Genomic DNA, 14666 nt, shown 5'->3' on the forward strand with positions numbered 1-14666 from the left:
ATGGTCTTGGGCAGCTCCACCCCTGTAGCTTTGCAGGGAACAGCCTCCCTTCTGGCTCCTTTCATGGGCTGGCGTTGATTGTCTGTGGCTTTTCCAGGCGCACGGTGCAAGCTGTCAGTGGCTCTACCATTCTGTGGTCTGGAGGACAGTGTCCCTCTTCTCACAGCTCCACTAGGCTGTGCCCCAGTAGGGACTCTGTGTGGGGGCTCCGACCCCAAATTTCCCTTCTGCACTGCCCTAGCAGAGGTTCTTCATGAGGGCCCCGCCCCTGCAGAAAACCTTTGCCTGGGCATCCAGGCGTTTCCATACATCTTCTGAAATCTAGATGGAGGTTCCCAAACCTCAATTCTTGACTTCTGTGCACCCACAGGCTCAAAACCATGTGGAAGCTGCCAAGGCTTGGGGCTTCCACCCTCTGAAGCCATAGTCTAAGCTGTACATTGGCCCCCTTTCAGCCATAGCTGGAGCAGCTGGGACACAGGGCACCAAGTCCCTAGGCTGCACACGGCACAGGGACCCTGGGCCTGCCTACAAAACCACTTTTTCCTCCTGGGCCTCCTGCCTGTGATGGGAGAGGCTGCCATGAAGTTCTCTGACAAGGCCTGGAGACATTTTTCCCATGGTCTTGGGGATTAACATTAGGCTCCTTGCTACTTATGCAAATTTCTGCAGCCGGCTTGAATTTCTCCCCTGAAAATGGGTTTTTCTTTTCTATCGCATAGTCAGGCTGCAACTTTTCCAAACTTTTATGCTCTGCTTCTCTTATAAAACTGAATGCCTTTACCAGCACCCAAGTCACCTCTTGAATGCTTTGCTGCTTAGAAATTTCTTCCACCGGATACCCTAAATCATCTCTCTCAAGTTCAAATTTTCACAAATCTCTAGGGCAGGGGCAAAATGCCACCAATCTCTTTGCTAAAACATAAAAAGAATCACCTTTGTTCCAGTTCCCAACAAATTCTTCATCTCCATCTGAGACCACTTCAGCCTGGATTTTATTGTCCGTATCACTATCAGCATTTTGGCCAAAGCTATTCAACATGTCTCTAGGAAGTTTCAAATTTTCCCACATTTTCCTGTCTTCTTCTTAGCCCTCCAAACTGTTCCAACCTCTGCCTGTTACCCAGTTCCAAAGTCGCTTCCACATTTTGGGATGTCTTTTCAGCTACACCCCACTCTACTGGTACCAATTTACTGTATTAGTCCATTTTCATGCTGCTGATAAAGACATAGCTGAGACTGGGTAATTTACAAAATACGGAGGTTTAATTGGACTTACAGTTCCAAGTGGCTGGGGAAGGTCTCACAATCATGGCAGAGGGCAAAAGGCACTTCTTACATGGTGATGGCAAGACAAAATGAGGAAGATGCAAAAGCAGAAACTCCTGATAAACCCATCAGATCTTGTGAGACTTATTCACTACCATGAGAACAGTATGGGGGAAACTGCCCCCATGGTACAAATTATCTCCCACTAGGTCCTTCCTACAACATGTGGGAATTATGGGAGTACAATTCACGATGAGATTTGGGTGGGGACACAGAGCCAAACCATATCACCACTCAAATCTCATAGTCAACTGTAATCCCCGGTGTTGGAGGTGGGGCCTGGTGGGAAGTGATTGAATCGTGGGGGTGGTTTCTCATGGTTTAACACCATCCCCCTTGGTGCTGTCATGGTGATAGTGAGTTCTCATGATATCTAGTTGTTTTTTTGTTTTTGTTTTTGTTTTTGTTTTGAGACGGAGTCTTGCTCTATCACCCAGGCTGGAGTGCAGTGGCATGATCTTGGCTCACTGCAACCTCCACCTCCCAAGTTCAAGCAATTCTCTTTCCTCAGCCTCTCAAGTAGCTGGGATTACAGGTGCATGCCACCGCGCCCAGCTAATTTTTGTATTTTTAGTAGAGACAGTGTTTCACCATGTTGGCCAGACTGGTCTTGAACTCTGACCTTGTGATCCACCCACCTCGGCCTCCCAAAGTGCTGGGATTACAGGCATGAGCCACCTGCCCAGCCTGTTTTTGTTTTTTTGTGAGACGGAGTCTCGCTCTGTCACCCAAGCTGGAGTACAATAGTGTGATCTCACCTTACTGCAACCTCCGCCTCCATGGTTCAAGCGATTCTCCTGCCTTAGCCTCTTGAGTAGCTGGGATTACAGGCACCTGCCACCATGCCCGGTCAATTTTTGTATTTTTGGTAGAGAACGGGGTTTCTCCATGTTGGTCAGGCTGGTCTCGAACTCCTGACCTTGTGATCTGCCCACATCGGCCTCCCAAAGTACTGGGATTACAGGTATGAGCCACCACACCCAGCCTGATATCTGGTTATTTAAAAGTGTGTGGGCCAGGTGTGGTGGCTTACGCCTGTAGTCCCAGAATTTTGGGAGGCCAAGACAGGTGAATTGCTTGAGCTCAGTAGTTTGAGACTAGCTTGAGCAACAGGGTAAAACTCCACCTCTACCAAAAATACAAAAAATTAGCTGGGTATGGTGGTGTGCACCTGTGGTCTCAGCTACTCAGGAGGCTGAGGCAGGATCGCTTGAGCCCAGGAGGTGGAGGTTGCAGTGAGCCAAGATTGTGCCACTGCACTCCAGCCTGGACAACACAGTGAGACCTTGTCTCAATAAATAAACAAACGAATAAATAAATAAATAATGAATAAAAGTATGTGGCATCTCCCCCCACCATCTCTTGGTCCTGCTCCTGCCATGTTAAAAGGCCCATTCCCGCTTTGCCCTCCACCATGAGTAAAAGCTGCTTTGCCTTTTGCCATGAATAAAAGTTTCCTAAGGCCTCCCTAGAAGCAGATGCTGCCGTGCTTCCTGTACAGCCTGTGGAACCGTAAGCCAGTTGAACTTCCTTTCTTATAAGTTATCCAGACTCAGGTATTTCTTTATAGCATTGCAAGAACAGACTAATACATATGTATTATATATTATAGTATATCTACATAGTCGATCTGGTACCAGATTTTGGAGGCAACATATTTCTCACTTGGGTGTGTTACTCTGGCCCATCTATTGAGTGACTTAAAAAGCTGCTAGTTTTGAGTGGGACCCAGAACAGGAGAAGACTCTGCAACAGGTAGGTATGTGAGGACAGTGGGGACGAAAGGCCATGGAGGGGAAAAGAGATAAGGGGAAAGTGACACTTCTCTGTGCAAGCAGCTCTACCACTTTGGCCGTATGATTCAACAGATCCAATGGTTCTTGAGGTGTCAGTGGCAAGAGGGGCGCTGTTTGGAGCCTTTGGCCAACCTCTATAGGTGAATTGCAGCACAGGCCCTTAGGATTTTGGAGCCAGGCCTTGCCATCATCTGCACATAACTATTCTCCTTTTGAGAGACAGCTCTTGGCCTGCGGCTGGACTTTGTAGTAGCTGGATGCTTGACCATGGGCCACCAAGTTATCATGTGACTCGGTGGGCATTATCTGACCCACCAAGCTGTAAAGTTGGGCATACACAGCAGCACTCCATCATCAAATGGAAGTGGTGGATACATGACAGGGCTCAAGCAGGTCCTAAAGGCACAAGTAAGTTGCATGAGGAAGTGGCCCAAATTCCCATGGTCCCCATTCCTGCTACCCTTCCTTGGCTCTTTCAGCCTGCACCTATGGCTCATGGGGAGTTTCCTATATTCAGCTGACAAAAGAAGAGAAGAGTAGGACCAGGTTTACAGATAGTTTGGCCCAATATGCAGGCATCAATCACAAGTGGACGCTGCAGCACTACAGCCCCTCTCTGGGACACCCTGAAGGACAGTGGTGAAGGGAAATCCTCTCAGTGTTCAAGACTTTGGGCAGTGGGCCTGGTTGTGCACTTTGCTTTGAAAGGAGAAATGGTCAGATGTGTGACTGTAAACCAATTCATGAGCTGGAGCCAATGGTTTGGCAGATGGTCAGGAACTTGGAAGAAACATGGTTGGAACATCAGTGACAAAGAAATTTGAGGAAGAGTTATGTGGACGGACCTCTCTGAGTGGGGAAAGGTGTGAAGATATTTGTACCCCATGTGAGGTCACACCAAAGGGTGACCTCAGCAAGGAGGAGTTTTAATATTCAAGAGGATAGGATGGCCCATTCTGTGGATATCAGTCGACCTCTTTCCCCAGCCATCCCTGTCATTGCCCAGTGGGCTCATGAACAAAGTGGTCATGGTGGCACTGATGGAGGTTATCCATGGGTTCGGCAGCTTGAACTCTCACTCATCAGAATTGACCTGGCTACTGCCACCTCTGAGTGTCCAATCTGCCAGCAGCAGAGACCAACACTGAGTCCCTGCAATGGCACAACTCCCCAGGGTGATCAGCCAGCTACCTGATGGCAGTTGATTACATTGGTCCTCTCCCATCATGGAAGGGGCAGCATTCTGTCCTTACTGGACCAGACACTCTGGATATGAATTTGGACTTATGGAATGCCTTATCCATCATCAATCATAATATTCCACATAGAATTGCTTCTTCTTTTTTTGAGACAGGGTCTCACTCTGTTGCCCAGCTGGAGTGCAATGGCATGATCATGGCTTACTACAGCCTTGAACTCTTGGCCCCATACAATCCTCCTGCCTCAGCCTCCTAAAGTGTTGGGATTACAGGCATGACCCACCATATCCAGCCTGTTTCTGATGAGGGAACACACTTCACAGCCAGAAAAGTGCAGCAATGAGCCCATGCTCATGACATTATTCACTGGTCTTACCATGTTTCCCATCATCCTGAAGCATCTGGCTTGACAGAATGGTGGCGTGGTTTTTTGTAGACTCAGTTACAGTGCCAGCTAGATGACAATAGGGCTGGGACAAGGGTCTTGAGAAGGCTGCCTAAGCACTGAATCAGCATCTGATATTTATACAGTATTGTTTTCCCCAAGCTAGTGTTACAGTCTCACCAATGCACCATAATGTAGCAGTCTCTCATTGTTCAAGGTATCATCTGGAGTTCTTTGTCTCGTGACCATGAAAATTAAGATGTGTGTACACCAAGGGTGAGATTGGAATGAAAGTTTAATAAGCAAAAGAAGAAAACTCTCTGCTGTGGAGAGGGGGCCTAAAAGAGGGTTGCCATTTTTACAGTTGAATGCAAAGGCTTCTATAGGAAACTGATGAGGGCTGGACATCTCATTTGCATAAGGTGCGAATTTCTACTAGCTCCACCCCATGCTCCTAATGTGCATGTGGGCCTTTAACTTGATTTACTCCATATTGCTTTGTTTCCCTTACTGCGCCTGTGTCAGGGGATGGAATTTTCCATTGCAGGTATGTCTAGGCAAGTTACCTGTGTAGGCTTTCTTATCTGTGCATCTGTGGGCATGTCTTAGGCAAGCCCCCATGCAAGTTCTCTTGTCTGTGTCTGCAGCTTGATTTTTCTTTTCTTTTTTTGTATTAAAAAAATGTATTTACTTAGAAGCATTCAGAATGTCAACAAAACAGCTGCAGCTTTTTTTTTTTTTTGCAATTACAGAGTGGTATTCTGTTAACAGAACAATTATTTTGTATAAGCTGCATCAGAGACAACTGAAGATGAAAAAACTACCATCCCCATATATAACTAAATTGTGCTGTGCACCAACAAGAACCTGCTTTAAATTTCCATGCCAATTTACAACCCCCATAGTGTACCAGGCAAGGTTAGTGTCTATTGAAAATACCACCAGGACAGGGCTATCTAAAGACACATTTGGTAGTGTGTTAACCATACAAAAAAAGACACTATACAGTTTAAAAACAAATCTTACAAAGCCTTGCATTTCAATTTTTTTCTTTAAAAGGAGTGAGTTGTGTACAGGGGGGTTAAATGCTTTATAGACAAGAAAAGAAACTGCGCTAGAACCAACTTATTCATCATCATCACCTTGTTCTTCATCTTCATCTTCTTCATCTTCCTCCTCCTCCTCATCCTCTTCGTCTTCCTCATCTTCCTCCTCTTCCTTCTTTTTCTTGCTTTTTTCAGCCTTGACAACTCCCTTTTTTGCTGCATCAGGCTTTCCTTTAGCTTGATATGCAGCAATATCCTTTTCATATTTTTCCTTCAGCTTTGCAGCCTTCTTTTCAGAAGGCTGCTTGCCATCTGCAGCAATGTCATTCCACATCTCTTCCAGTTTCTTTGCAACATCACCAATGGACAGGCCAGGATGTTCTCCTTTGATTTTTGGGCGATACTCAGAGCAGAACAGGAAAAGGGTCAAAGGAAGCCTCTTGGGTGCATTGGGATACTTGAACCTCTTTTTTTATCTCCCCTTTAGGAGGGATGTAGGTTTTCATTTCTCTTTCGTAATGGGCGTTGTCCACCTTTGCCATATCTTCAAATTTTCCTTTCTGTTTAGCAGGCATGGTCTTCCACCTCTCTGAGCACTTCTTAGAAAACTCTGAGAAGTTGACTGAAGCATCTGGGTGCTTCTCTTATGCTTCTCCAGACAAGTTTGCACAAAAAAATGCAAGTGAGAGCCCATCTGGCTCTCACTTGCCCCGGCACTGTCTCTATGGAGCTGAATGTACTGCAATGGCTGTGCAGCTTCGTTTTTTGGGCAGTTCTTTTGTTTGAAAGAATTTAACTGAGAATCCACCCTAACTGCCTGCCTCACCAGTTTCTTCCTTTCTCCTCTCTCATTCCCCCTCCTCAGGAGTGAAGACCATAACTGCTGTTAGGGAAGTGGGGAGATGATCCTTCTAGCTACTTTCTACTGGAGAGGGGGATTGTGTGGGGAACAGCTGGTAGGGTTCCTACTGAGGCCAGTCTAAGAGTCCTTGGAAGAAAGGTGCATCCATGTGTGGTTTCATTTGCATCACTATTTGGAGCTTGATAGCCTTTAGGAAAGAAGAAACAATTTGGATTATTAGAGGACATGTATTAAAACAAAGCAAAGGGGTGGGGGTAAGGACAGCCAAAAATCCCAAGGCTGCCAACATGCCCAGATAACTGGTAGCTATATTTCTGCCTGCTAAGATTTGGATGCATGGGGTTTGGCTTTGGTTAACTTCTTTGGTTCTATTTTCCAAAACAAAGAAAACTCTGGGTTATGGGAACTCTATTTACTCCCATCACCTGGCAGGATTTGCAGGATAATTGCTCAGAACTAGAATACTGATCTAGATTTTTACATTACCCATTTCTTTTTTTTTTCTGAGCTGCAGCCTGACATTGCTAGTTGGTTTACAGGAATAAGCAGGGTTAGTCTAAAATGTAGGCAAGAACTAAAAACAACCAAGGAGATTAGAATTTAATGACAAGTGTATAAGTTTTGAAATATAATTTGTCTCTCTCTGGTCCTCATTTTTTTAAAAACAAATCATGTTTTTAAAATTTAAAATTTTAAAAATTAAAAAAAAAATTTGCAAAATAAATGTTAGGTTTTTTTTTGTTTTTTTTTTGAGATGGAGTCTCGCTCTGCAATTCTCCTGCCTCAGCCTCCCGAGTAGCTGGGATTACAGGTGCATGCCATAACGCCTGGCTAATTTTTGTATTTTTAGTAGAGATAGAGTTTCACCATGTTGGCCAGGCTGGTTTCAAACTCCTGACCTCAAGTGATCCACCTGCCTTGGCCTCCCAAACTGCTGGGATTACAGGCGTGAGTCACCATGCCCAGCCAAACTTTAGTTTTATACTTGGCCTGATTATTTGGATAAAGTGCAACAAGAATAATTGTTTTTATATAGGCTTTTAAAATTGGCTTTGATAGAACTCTGTTCCATAAGAAATCTCAGATAGGAGTTTTTAAAGCCACGCCTAGCCATGGGTTTGTACCCTGAAATACCTATGAATTGGGTGAATTCCTCTCTTCTTATAGTTCCAAAAATATGGGGTTCTTAGACCTGTGAGAAAGTGACAATCTCTATTCACCACAGCTTAGGAACCCTGTATGGGGACGGTGTAGACAAGGTATGAGGCCAGTTTTCCCAAGGGGCTTTTATTGTCACTGTAAGTCAAGCTTGATTTACAAGGGAAGCATACCCTTCCAGTCAAAGCCAGTAAAACAACTAATTTCTCCAATTGCGTCCTGTTGCAAAATGAAATGGATTCTTATTGCACTGATGCAAACAACTATATTGCCATAAGTTAAGAGTACTCACAAATAGTTTCCAAATTTTGGAGAAGTCAGGCAGAAAGAAACAAACATGCTCCAAATTTTGTTTACAAGACTATACCTTACCTAATTATTAAAGGCTGTACATAGCTTGTTTCCTTGACTCTGAAAAACAAAACAAGGATCAGTAACTTTTTTTTGAGACAGAGTCTTGCTCTGTCACCCAGGCTGAAGTGCAGTGGCATTATCCTGGCTCACTGCAACCTCCGCCTCCCAGGTTCAAGCAATTTTCCTGCCTTAGCCTCCCGAGTAGCTGGGACTACAGGTGCCTGCCACTACTCCTGGCTAATTTTTGTATTTTTAGTAGAGATGGTGTTTCACCATGTTGGCCAGGCTGGTCTCAAACTCCTGACCTCGTGATCTGCCTGCCTTGGCCTCCCAAAGTGCTGGGATTACAGGCATGAGCCACGGTGCCCAGCCCTAGATCTGATGGCTTTATAAGGTGGAGTTTCCCTGCACAAGCTCTCTCTTTGCCTGCTGTCATCCACCTAAAATGTGACTTGCTCCTCCTTGCCTTCCACCATGAATTGTGAGGCCTCTCCAGCCATGTGGAACTCTAAGTCCAATAAACCTCTTTCTTTTGTAAATTGCCCAGTTTTGGGTATGTCTTTAGCAGCAGCATGAAAATGGACTAATAAACTCTATCTATCTATCTATCTATCCATCCTATTCATTCCATCTCTCTGGAAAACTCTGATTAATGAAACAACTAAATGCAATATGGAATCCCAGAGTGGATCTTGGACTAGAACAGGATATTAGTGGAAAAATGTAGGTAACTATTGTATTATATCAATGTTCATTTTTTTTTTTGAGATGGACTTTTGCTCTTGTTGCCCAGTTTGGAGTGCAATGGCGTGATCTTGGCTCACTGCAACCTCTGCCTCCTGGGCTCAAGTGATTCACCTGCCTTAGCCTCCTGAGTAGCTGGGATTACAGGCATGTGCCACCACATCCCGCTAATTTTTGTATTTTTAGTAGAGATGGGGTTTCTCCATATTGGTCAGGCTGGTCTCAAACTCCCAACCTCAGGTGATCTGCCCACCTCAGCCTCTCAAAGTGCTGGGATTACAGGCATGAGCCACCACGCCCAGCCCATTTTCTGGTTTTAATCACTGTGCAACAATTATGTAAGATGTTAACATTAAGGCAAGCTGGTGAGGAGTGTACCTTTTTTTTTTTTTGAGATGGAGTCTCACTGTGTAGCCCAGGCTGGAGTGCAGTGGTGCAATCTCAGCTCACGGTAAACTCCACCTCTGTGGTTCAAGTGATTCTTCTGCCTCAGCCTCCTGGGCGTGCACCACCACGCCAGGCTAATTTTTGTATTTTTAGTAGAGATGGGGTGTCACCATATTGGCCAGGCTGGTCTTGAACTTCTGACCTCATGATCCACCCGCCTTGGCCTCCCAAAGTGCTGGGATTACAGGCGTGAGCCACTGTGCCCGGCCGAGTGTACATTTTTTGTAAATTTTCTGTAGGTAATTTACAAAAGAACATTTCAAAAGAAAACCTTTTTTTTATTTAAAACATTAAAAAAAATTTTTTTTATTTCCATAGGTTTTTGGGGAACAGGTGATATTTGGTTGCACAATAAGTTCTTTCGTGGTGATTCATGAGATTTTGGTGCACCCATCACCCAAGCAGTATACACTGAACCCAATTTGTAGTCTTTTATCTGTCACCTCCTTCCCACCCTTTCCCCTTGAGTCCCCAAAGTCTATTGTGTCATTCTTAAGCTTTGCATCCTCATAGTTTAGTTTCCACTTATGAGTGAGAATTTTTTTTTTTTTTTGAGATGGAGTCTCTCTCTCACCCAGGCTGGAGTGCAGTGGCGTGATCTCTGCTCACTGTAACTTCTGCCTCCTGGGTTTAAGCGATTCTCCTGCCTCAGCCATCCGAGCAGCTTGGATTACAGGCGCCCACCACCACACCCAGCTAATTTTTGTATTTTTAGTAGAGACGGGGTTCACCATGTTGGCCAGGCTGGTCTTGAACTCCTGACCTCAAGTGATTCACCCGCCTTGGCCTCCCAAAGTGCTGGGATTACAGGCGTGGGCCACCGCATCTGGCTGAGTGAGAATTTTTTTTTTAATTACTTGAGGTCAGGAGTTGTAGACCAGCCTGGCCAACATGGTGAAACCCTGTCTCTACTAAACATATAAAAATTAGCCAGGTATGGTAGCAGGTGCCTGTCATCCCAGCTATTTGGGAGGCTGAGGCAGGAGAATTGCTTGAACCCCAAGGCAGAGGCTTCAGTGAACCAAAATCATGCCACTGAATTCCAGCCTGGGTGACAGTGAGGCTGTCTCAAAAAAAAAAAAAAAAAAAAAAAAGATCACAGCTCACTGAAGCCCCGACCTTCCAGGCTCAAGCAATTCTCCTGCCTCAGCCTCCTGAGTAGCTGGGACTACAGGCATGCATCACCATGCCCAGCTAATTGTTTTTTATTATTTGTAGAGATGAGGTCTCGCTATGTGGCCCAGGCTGGTCTTGAACTCCTGGGCTCAAGAAATCCTCCCTCCTCAGCCTCCCAAAATGCTGGGATTACAGATATGAGCCACGGTGTCAGGCTGAAAACTGTTTTAGGGAGAGAGAAATGTATACGAATGTTCTTTGCAGTGTCATTTGCAACAGTGAAAAACTGAAAACAAGAAAAGTAGTCAGTAGTAACCAACAGATTGAACAAAGTGTAATCCTTTCATAGGATGGAATGCAATGGCACTATTTAAAAGAATGAGAAAGACCTGAATGTAGGAATATAAAAAGTTCTCTAAGATTTATTACTAGCAGGCAACATCAATATGCAGAATAGGAAGTATAGTTTGGACCCATTTCAAGCAAAATTTTAAAAAAGCATATACAGAATTTAAAAATATATATACGTGCTGACATGTGCATAAAGCTTTTTTTTTTCTGGGAAGAATCACAAGAAATTATCAACAGTGGGGAAAAGATAGTTGGGGGAAGAGACAGTTTTCATTATATAACTGTACTGTCTGCATTTTCCAATTTTATTTATGTATTTATTTTGTTTTTTCTTTTTTTGAGACAGCATCTCACTCTGTCATCCAGATTAAAGTGCAGTGACATGATCATTGCTCACTGCAGCCTCCACTTCCCAGGCTCAAGCGATCCTTCTACCTCAGCCTCCTGACTAGCTGGGACTACAGGCTCGTGCTACCATGCCCAGATAATTTTCGTGTTTTTTTGGTAGAAATGAGAGTCTCACTTTGTTGCCCAGGCTGGTCTTGAACTCCTGGGCTCAAGTGATCCTTTTGCCTTGGCCTCCCGAGGTGTTAGGATTACAGGTGTGAGCCACTGTACCCGGCTGGTTTTTTCTTTCAATGCTTTAAATATTTCACTCTCTTGTTGACATGATTTCTGACAAGCAGAAACACTAAAAATTATACAAATTATACAAAGAGTTCCCATGCACCCTTCACCCACATTGATGCTCCTTTACCTCTAGATGCCTCAGTCTGTATTTCCCCCAAAAAATAACCGCAGGCTAGTGACTAAATCAGGAAATTAAGGTCGATACAGTTCTGTTGTCTTCCACAGACCCTCATCATATTTTCCCTGAATTTACCCTCATCATATTTTCTCTGAATCACACCTTGGGTTAGTTATTGCTTCTCTTTAGTCTCCTCTAATCTGGACCACCACACCTGGCTATTTTTTGTTTGTTTGTTTTGAGATGGAGTTTCGTTCTTGTCGCCCAGGCTGGAGTGTAATGGCGCAGTCTTGGCTCACTGTAACCTCCGCCTCCCAGGTTCAAGCGATTCTCCTGCCTCAGCCTCCCAAGTAGCTGCGATTACAGGCACCCACCACCATGCCTGGCTAATTTTTTTGTATTTTTAGTAGAGATGGGGTTTCACCATGTTGGCCAGGCTGATCTTGAACTCCTAACCTCAGGTGATTCTGCCTGCCTCAGCCCCCCAAAGGGCTGCAATTACAGGAGTGAGCCACTGTGCCTTGGCCAACGCCCAGCTAATTTTTGTATTTTTTGTAGAGACAAGGTTTCACCATGTTGCCCAGGCTGGTCTTGAACTCCTAAGCTCAAGCGATCCACCTGCCTTGGCCTCCCAAAGTGCTAGGATTACAGGTGTGAGCCACTGCACCCAGGCTTTGATAGGACTCTTGATAAAGGTTGGCCAGGTTAGTCAGATGCCAAGAGGAGGGATTTTCAATAAGCAGACCTAGCAGGATTCCTGCTCCAATTGGATTCTGCAAGGACAGAAAGGGAAGCCCAAGAAAGTCCTAATCAAGCAGAGAACTCAGAGGAGCTTGACTAATATTTTGGTCAAAGGAGTGAGTCTTTGCCAATATAATCAGAGTTATTTCAAAATTTTTATCTGATAATTCCTTATTCTGTTTTATATCTGAGTCTGGTTCTGATGCCTGTTTTGCCTCTTCATGCCGTGTTTTTTTCTTGCCTTTTAGCAGACCTTGTGATTTGTTGTAGAAAGCCAGCCATCGAGTATCTGGTGGTAGGAACCCAGGTAATGAGGCTTTTAGTGTGAGGTTTCATGTTAATCTACTGAGGAGTCGGGCTGTCTGGAATGTTTCCTGCAGCTGTAGGTGCCACAGGCTTCAAATAAATTCCTCTAGTCCCTCCTTGTTGTTTTTCCTGTTGTCTTTGGTTTGCTAAGAATTCTTTTTTAAAATATTTTTTCATTAAAAAATGTTTTTGGCTGGGCACGGTGGCTCACACCTGTAATCCCAGCACTTTGGGAGGCCGGGGTGGGCAGATCACTTGAACCCAGGAGTTTGAGACCAGACTGACCAACAGGGTAAAACCCCATCTCTACTAAAAACACCAAAATTAGCTGGGCATGTGGTGGCGGCCTGTAATCCCAGCTACTCAGGAGGCAGGAGAATGGCTTGAACCTGGGAGGCAGAGGTTGCGGTAACTGATTGCACCACTGCACTCCACCTGGGCAACAGAGTGAGACTCTGTCTCAAAAAAACAAAAATAATAAAAGTAAACACTTTTTTTCAAGACAGGATCTTACTCTGTTGTCCAGGATGGAGTACAGTGATGCAGTCTCAGCTCACTGCAGCCTCCACCTCCTGGGCTCAAGCCATCTTCCCACCTCAGTCTCCTGAGTAGCTGGGACCACAGGTGTGCCCCGGCATGTACCAGCTGGGACCACAGGTGTGCACTGGCTAATTTTTTAATATTTTGTAGAGATGGGTCTTGCCATGTTGCTATGCATTCCAGGCTGGTCTTGAATTCCTAGGCTCAAATGATCCTCCATCTCAGCCTCCCAAAGTGCTGGTGATGGCAGTGGTGGCCTGTCTAGAGAAACCGCTGTCGTGACACTGGCTACAGTGGGTGAGGTGCGGCCGGCGCTGCATACTCCATGGAGCCAGTGGGGGCTGGGGGCTGGGGGCTGGGAGCAGACAGGAGCCCCACCCTTCCAGGCGCAGCGGCAGCTGCCCAATCCGTGGCTGTGGACCCAGGCATTTCTGTACTCTCGGGGGCCTGGGAAGACACCCCCTTCCCCCGCAGGCTTGGAAGTTCCTGCTCCCGTTGCCTGGCCTCTCCTTGATCTTGGAGTGAGGTTGGGGCTGAGCCCAGGCGCTGTCACAGCCCGGCCGGGTGTGGGTACACTTGGTGCAGTGCTGACACACAAGCCGCCTGCCACCTCAGCCCCTTCCAGACTTTGAACACCGATGAGCAGGGGAGGGAGGCCAAGGAGGAGCTGAGGGTTCGTACCCTTCCTCGGAGGGAAGGAAGTGTGCACCAATTGGTCCATGAGCGGCCATGAGTGGGCCTAGAAAAAGCACCACAAGTTCCCACTCCTTTCCATGGGACTGGCAGCCCAGCCCCCAGGCTTCAGGCCCTCCCTGGCTTGAAGGTGGGGCCTCACCAGGGACCTGCCTTCTCCCACCCAGGAGCCTGTCTGCCTCCTGCTGCCATTCATGGCGCCCAGTCTGTTCATGCCAAGGGGCCTGTAATCCTAACACTTTGGGAGGCTGAGACGGGCAGGTCACCTGAGGTCAGGAGTTTGAGACCAGCCTGGCCAACATGGTGAAACCCGGTCTCTACCAAAAATACAAAAAATTAGCCAGGCATGGTGGTGGGCACCTGTAACCCCAGCTACTCAGGAGGCTGAGGCAGGAGAATCGCTTGAACCTGGGAGGTGGAGGTTGTAGTGAGCCGAGATTGTGCCACTGTACTCCAGCCTGAGCAACAAGAGTGAAACTCCGTCTCAAAAAAAAAAATTTTTTTTTAAATTTTCCTTTTCAAAAATTTATAATTTTGTTTAAAAAAGACCAAGGTCTCTGTCACCCAGGCTGGAATGCAATGGCGTGATCATAGCTTACTACAGCCTTGGATTTCTGGGCTCAAGAGATCTTCCTGCCTCAAGAAAATTTTTTTTAAACATTATTTTTCTTTTCAAGAATTTATACCTTTTTTTTAAAAAAAAAACCAAGGTCTCACTCTGTCACTCAGATTGGAGTGCAATGGTGTAATCACAGCTCACTGCAGCCTCAAACTCCTGGGCGCAAGGAATCCTCCCTCCTCAGCTTCCCAAGTAGCTAGAACCCCAGCCACATACCACCACACCCACCATG

General features: G+C 45.8%; 1 pseudogene; it reads right to left on the reverse strand.

The window, feature by feature from the left end:
* Window positions 1–5670: 5670 nt before the first annotated feature.
* Window positions 5671–6410, reverse strand: HMGB1P37 (high mobility group box 1 pseudogene 37; annotated as a pseudogene).

This window comes from Homo sapiens, chromosome 9 (assembly GCF_000001405.40).
Source record: "Homo sapiens chromosome 9, GRCh38.p14 Primary Assembly".
Taxonomy (NCBI): Eukaryota; Metazoa; Chordata; class Mammalia; order Primates; family Hominidae; genus Homo; species Homo sapiens.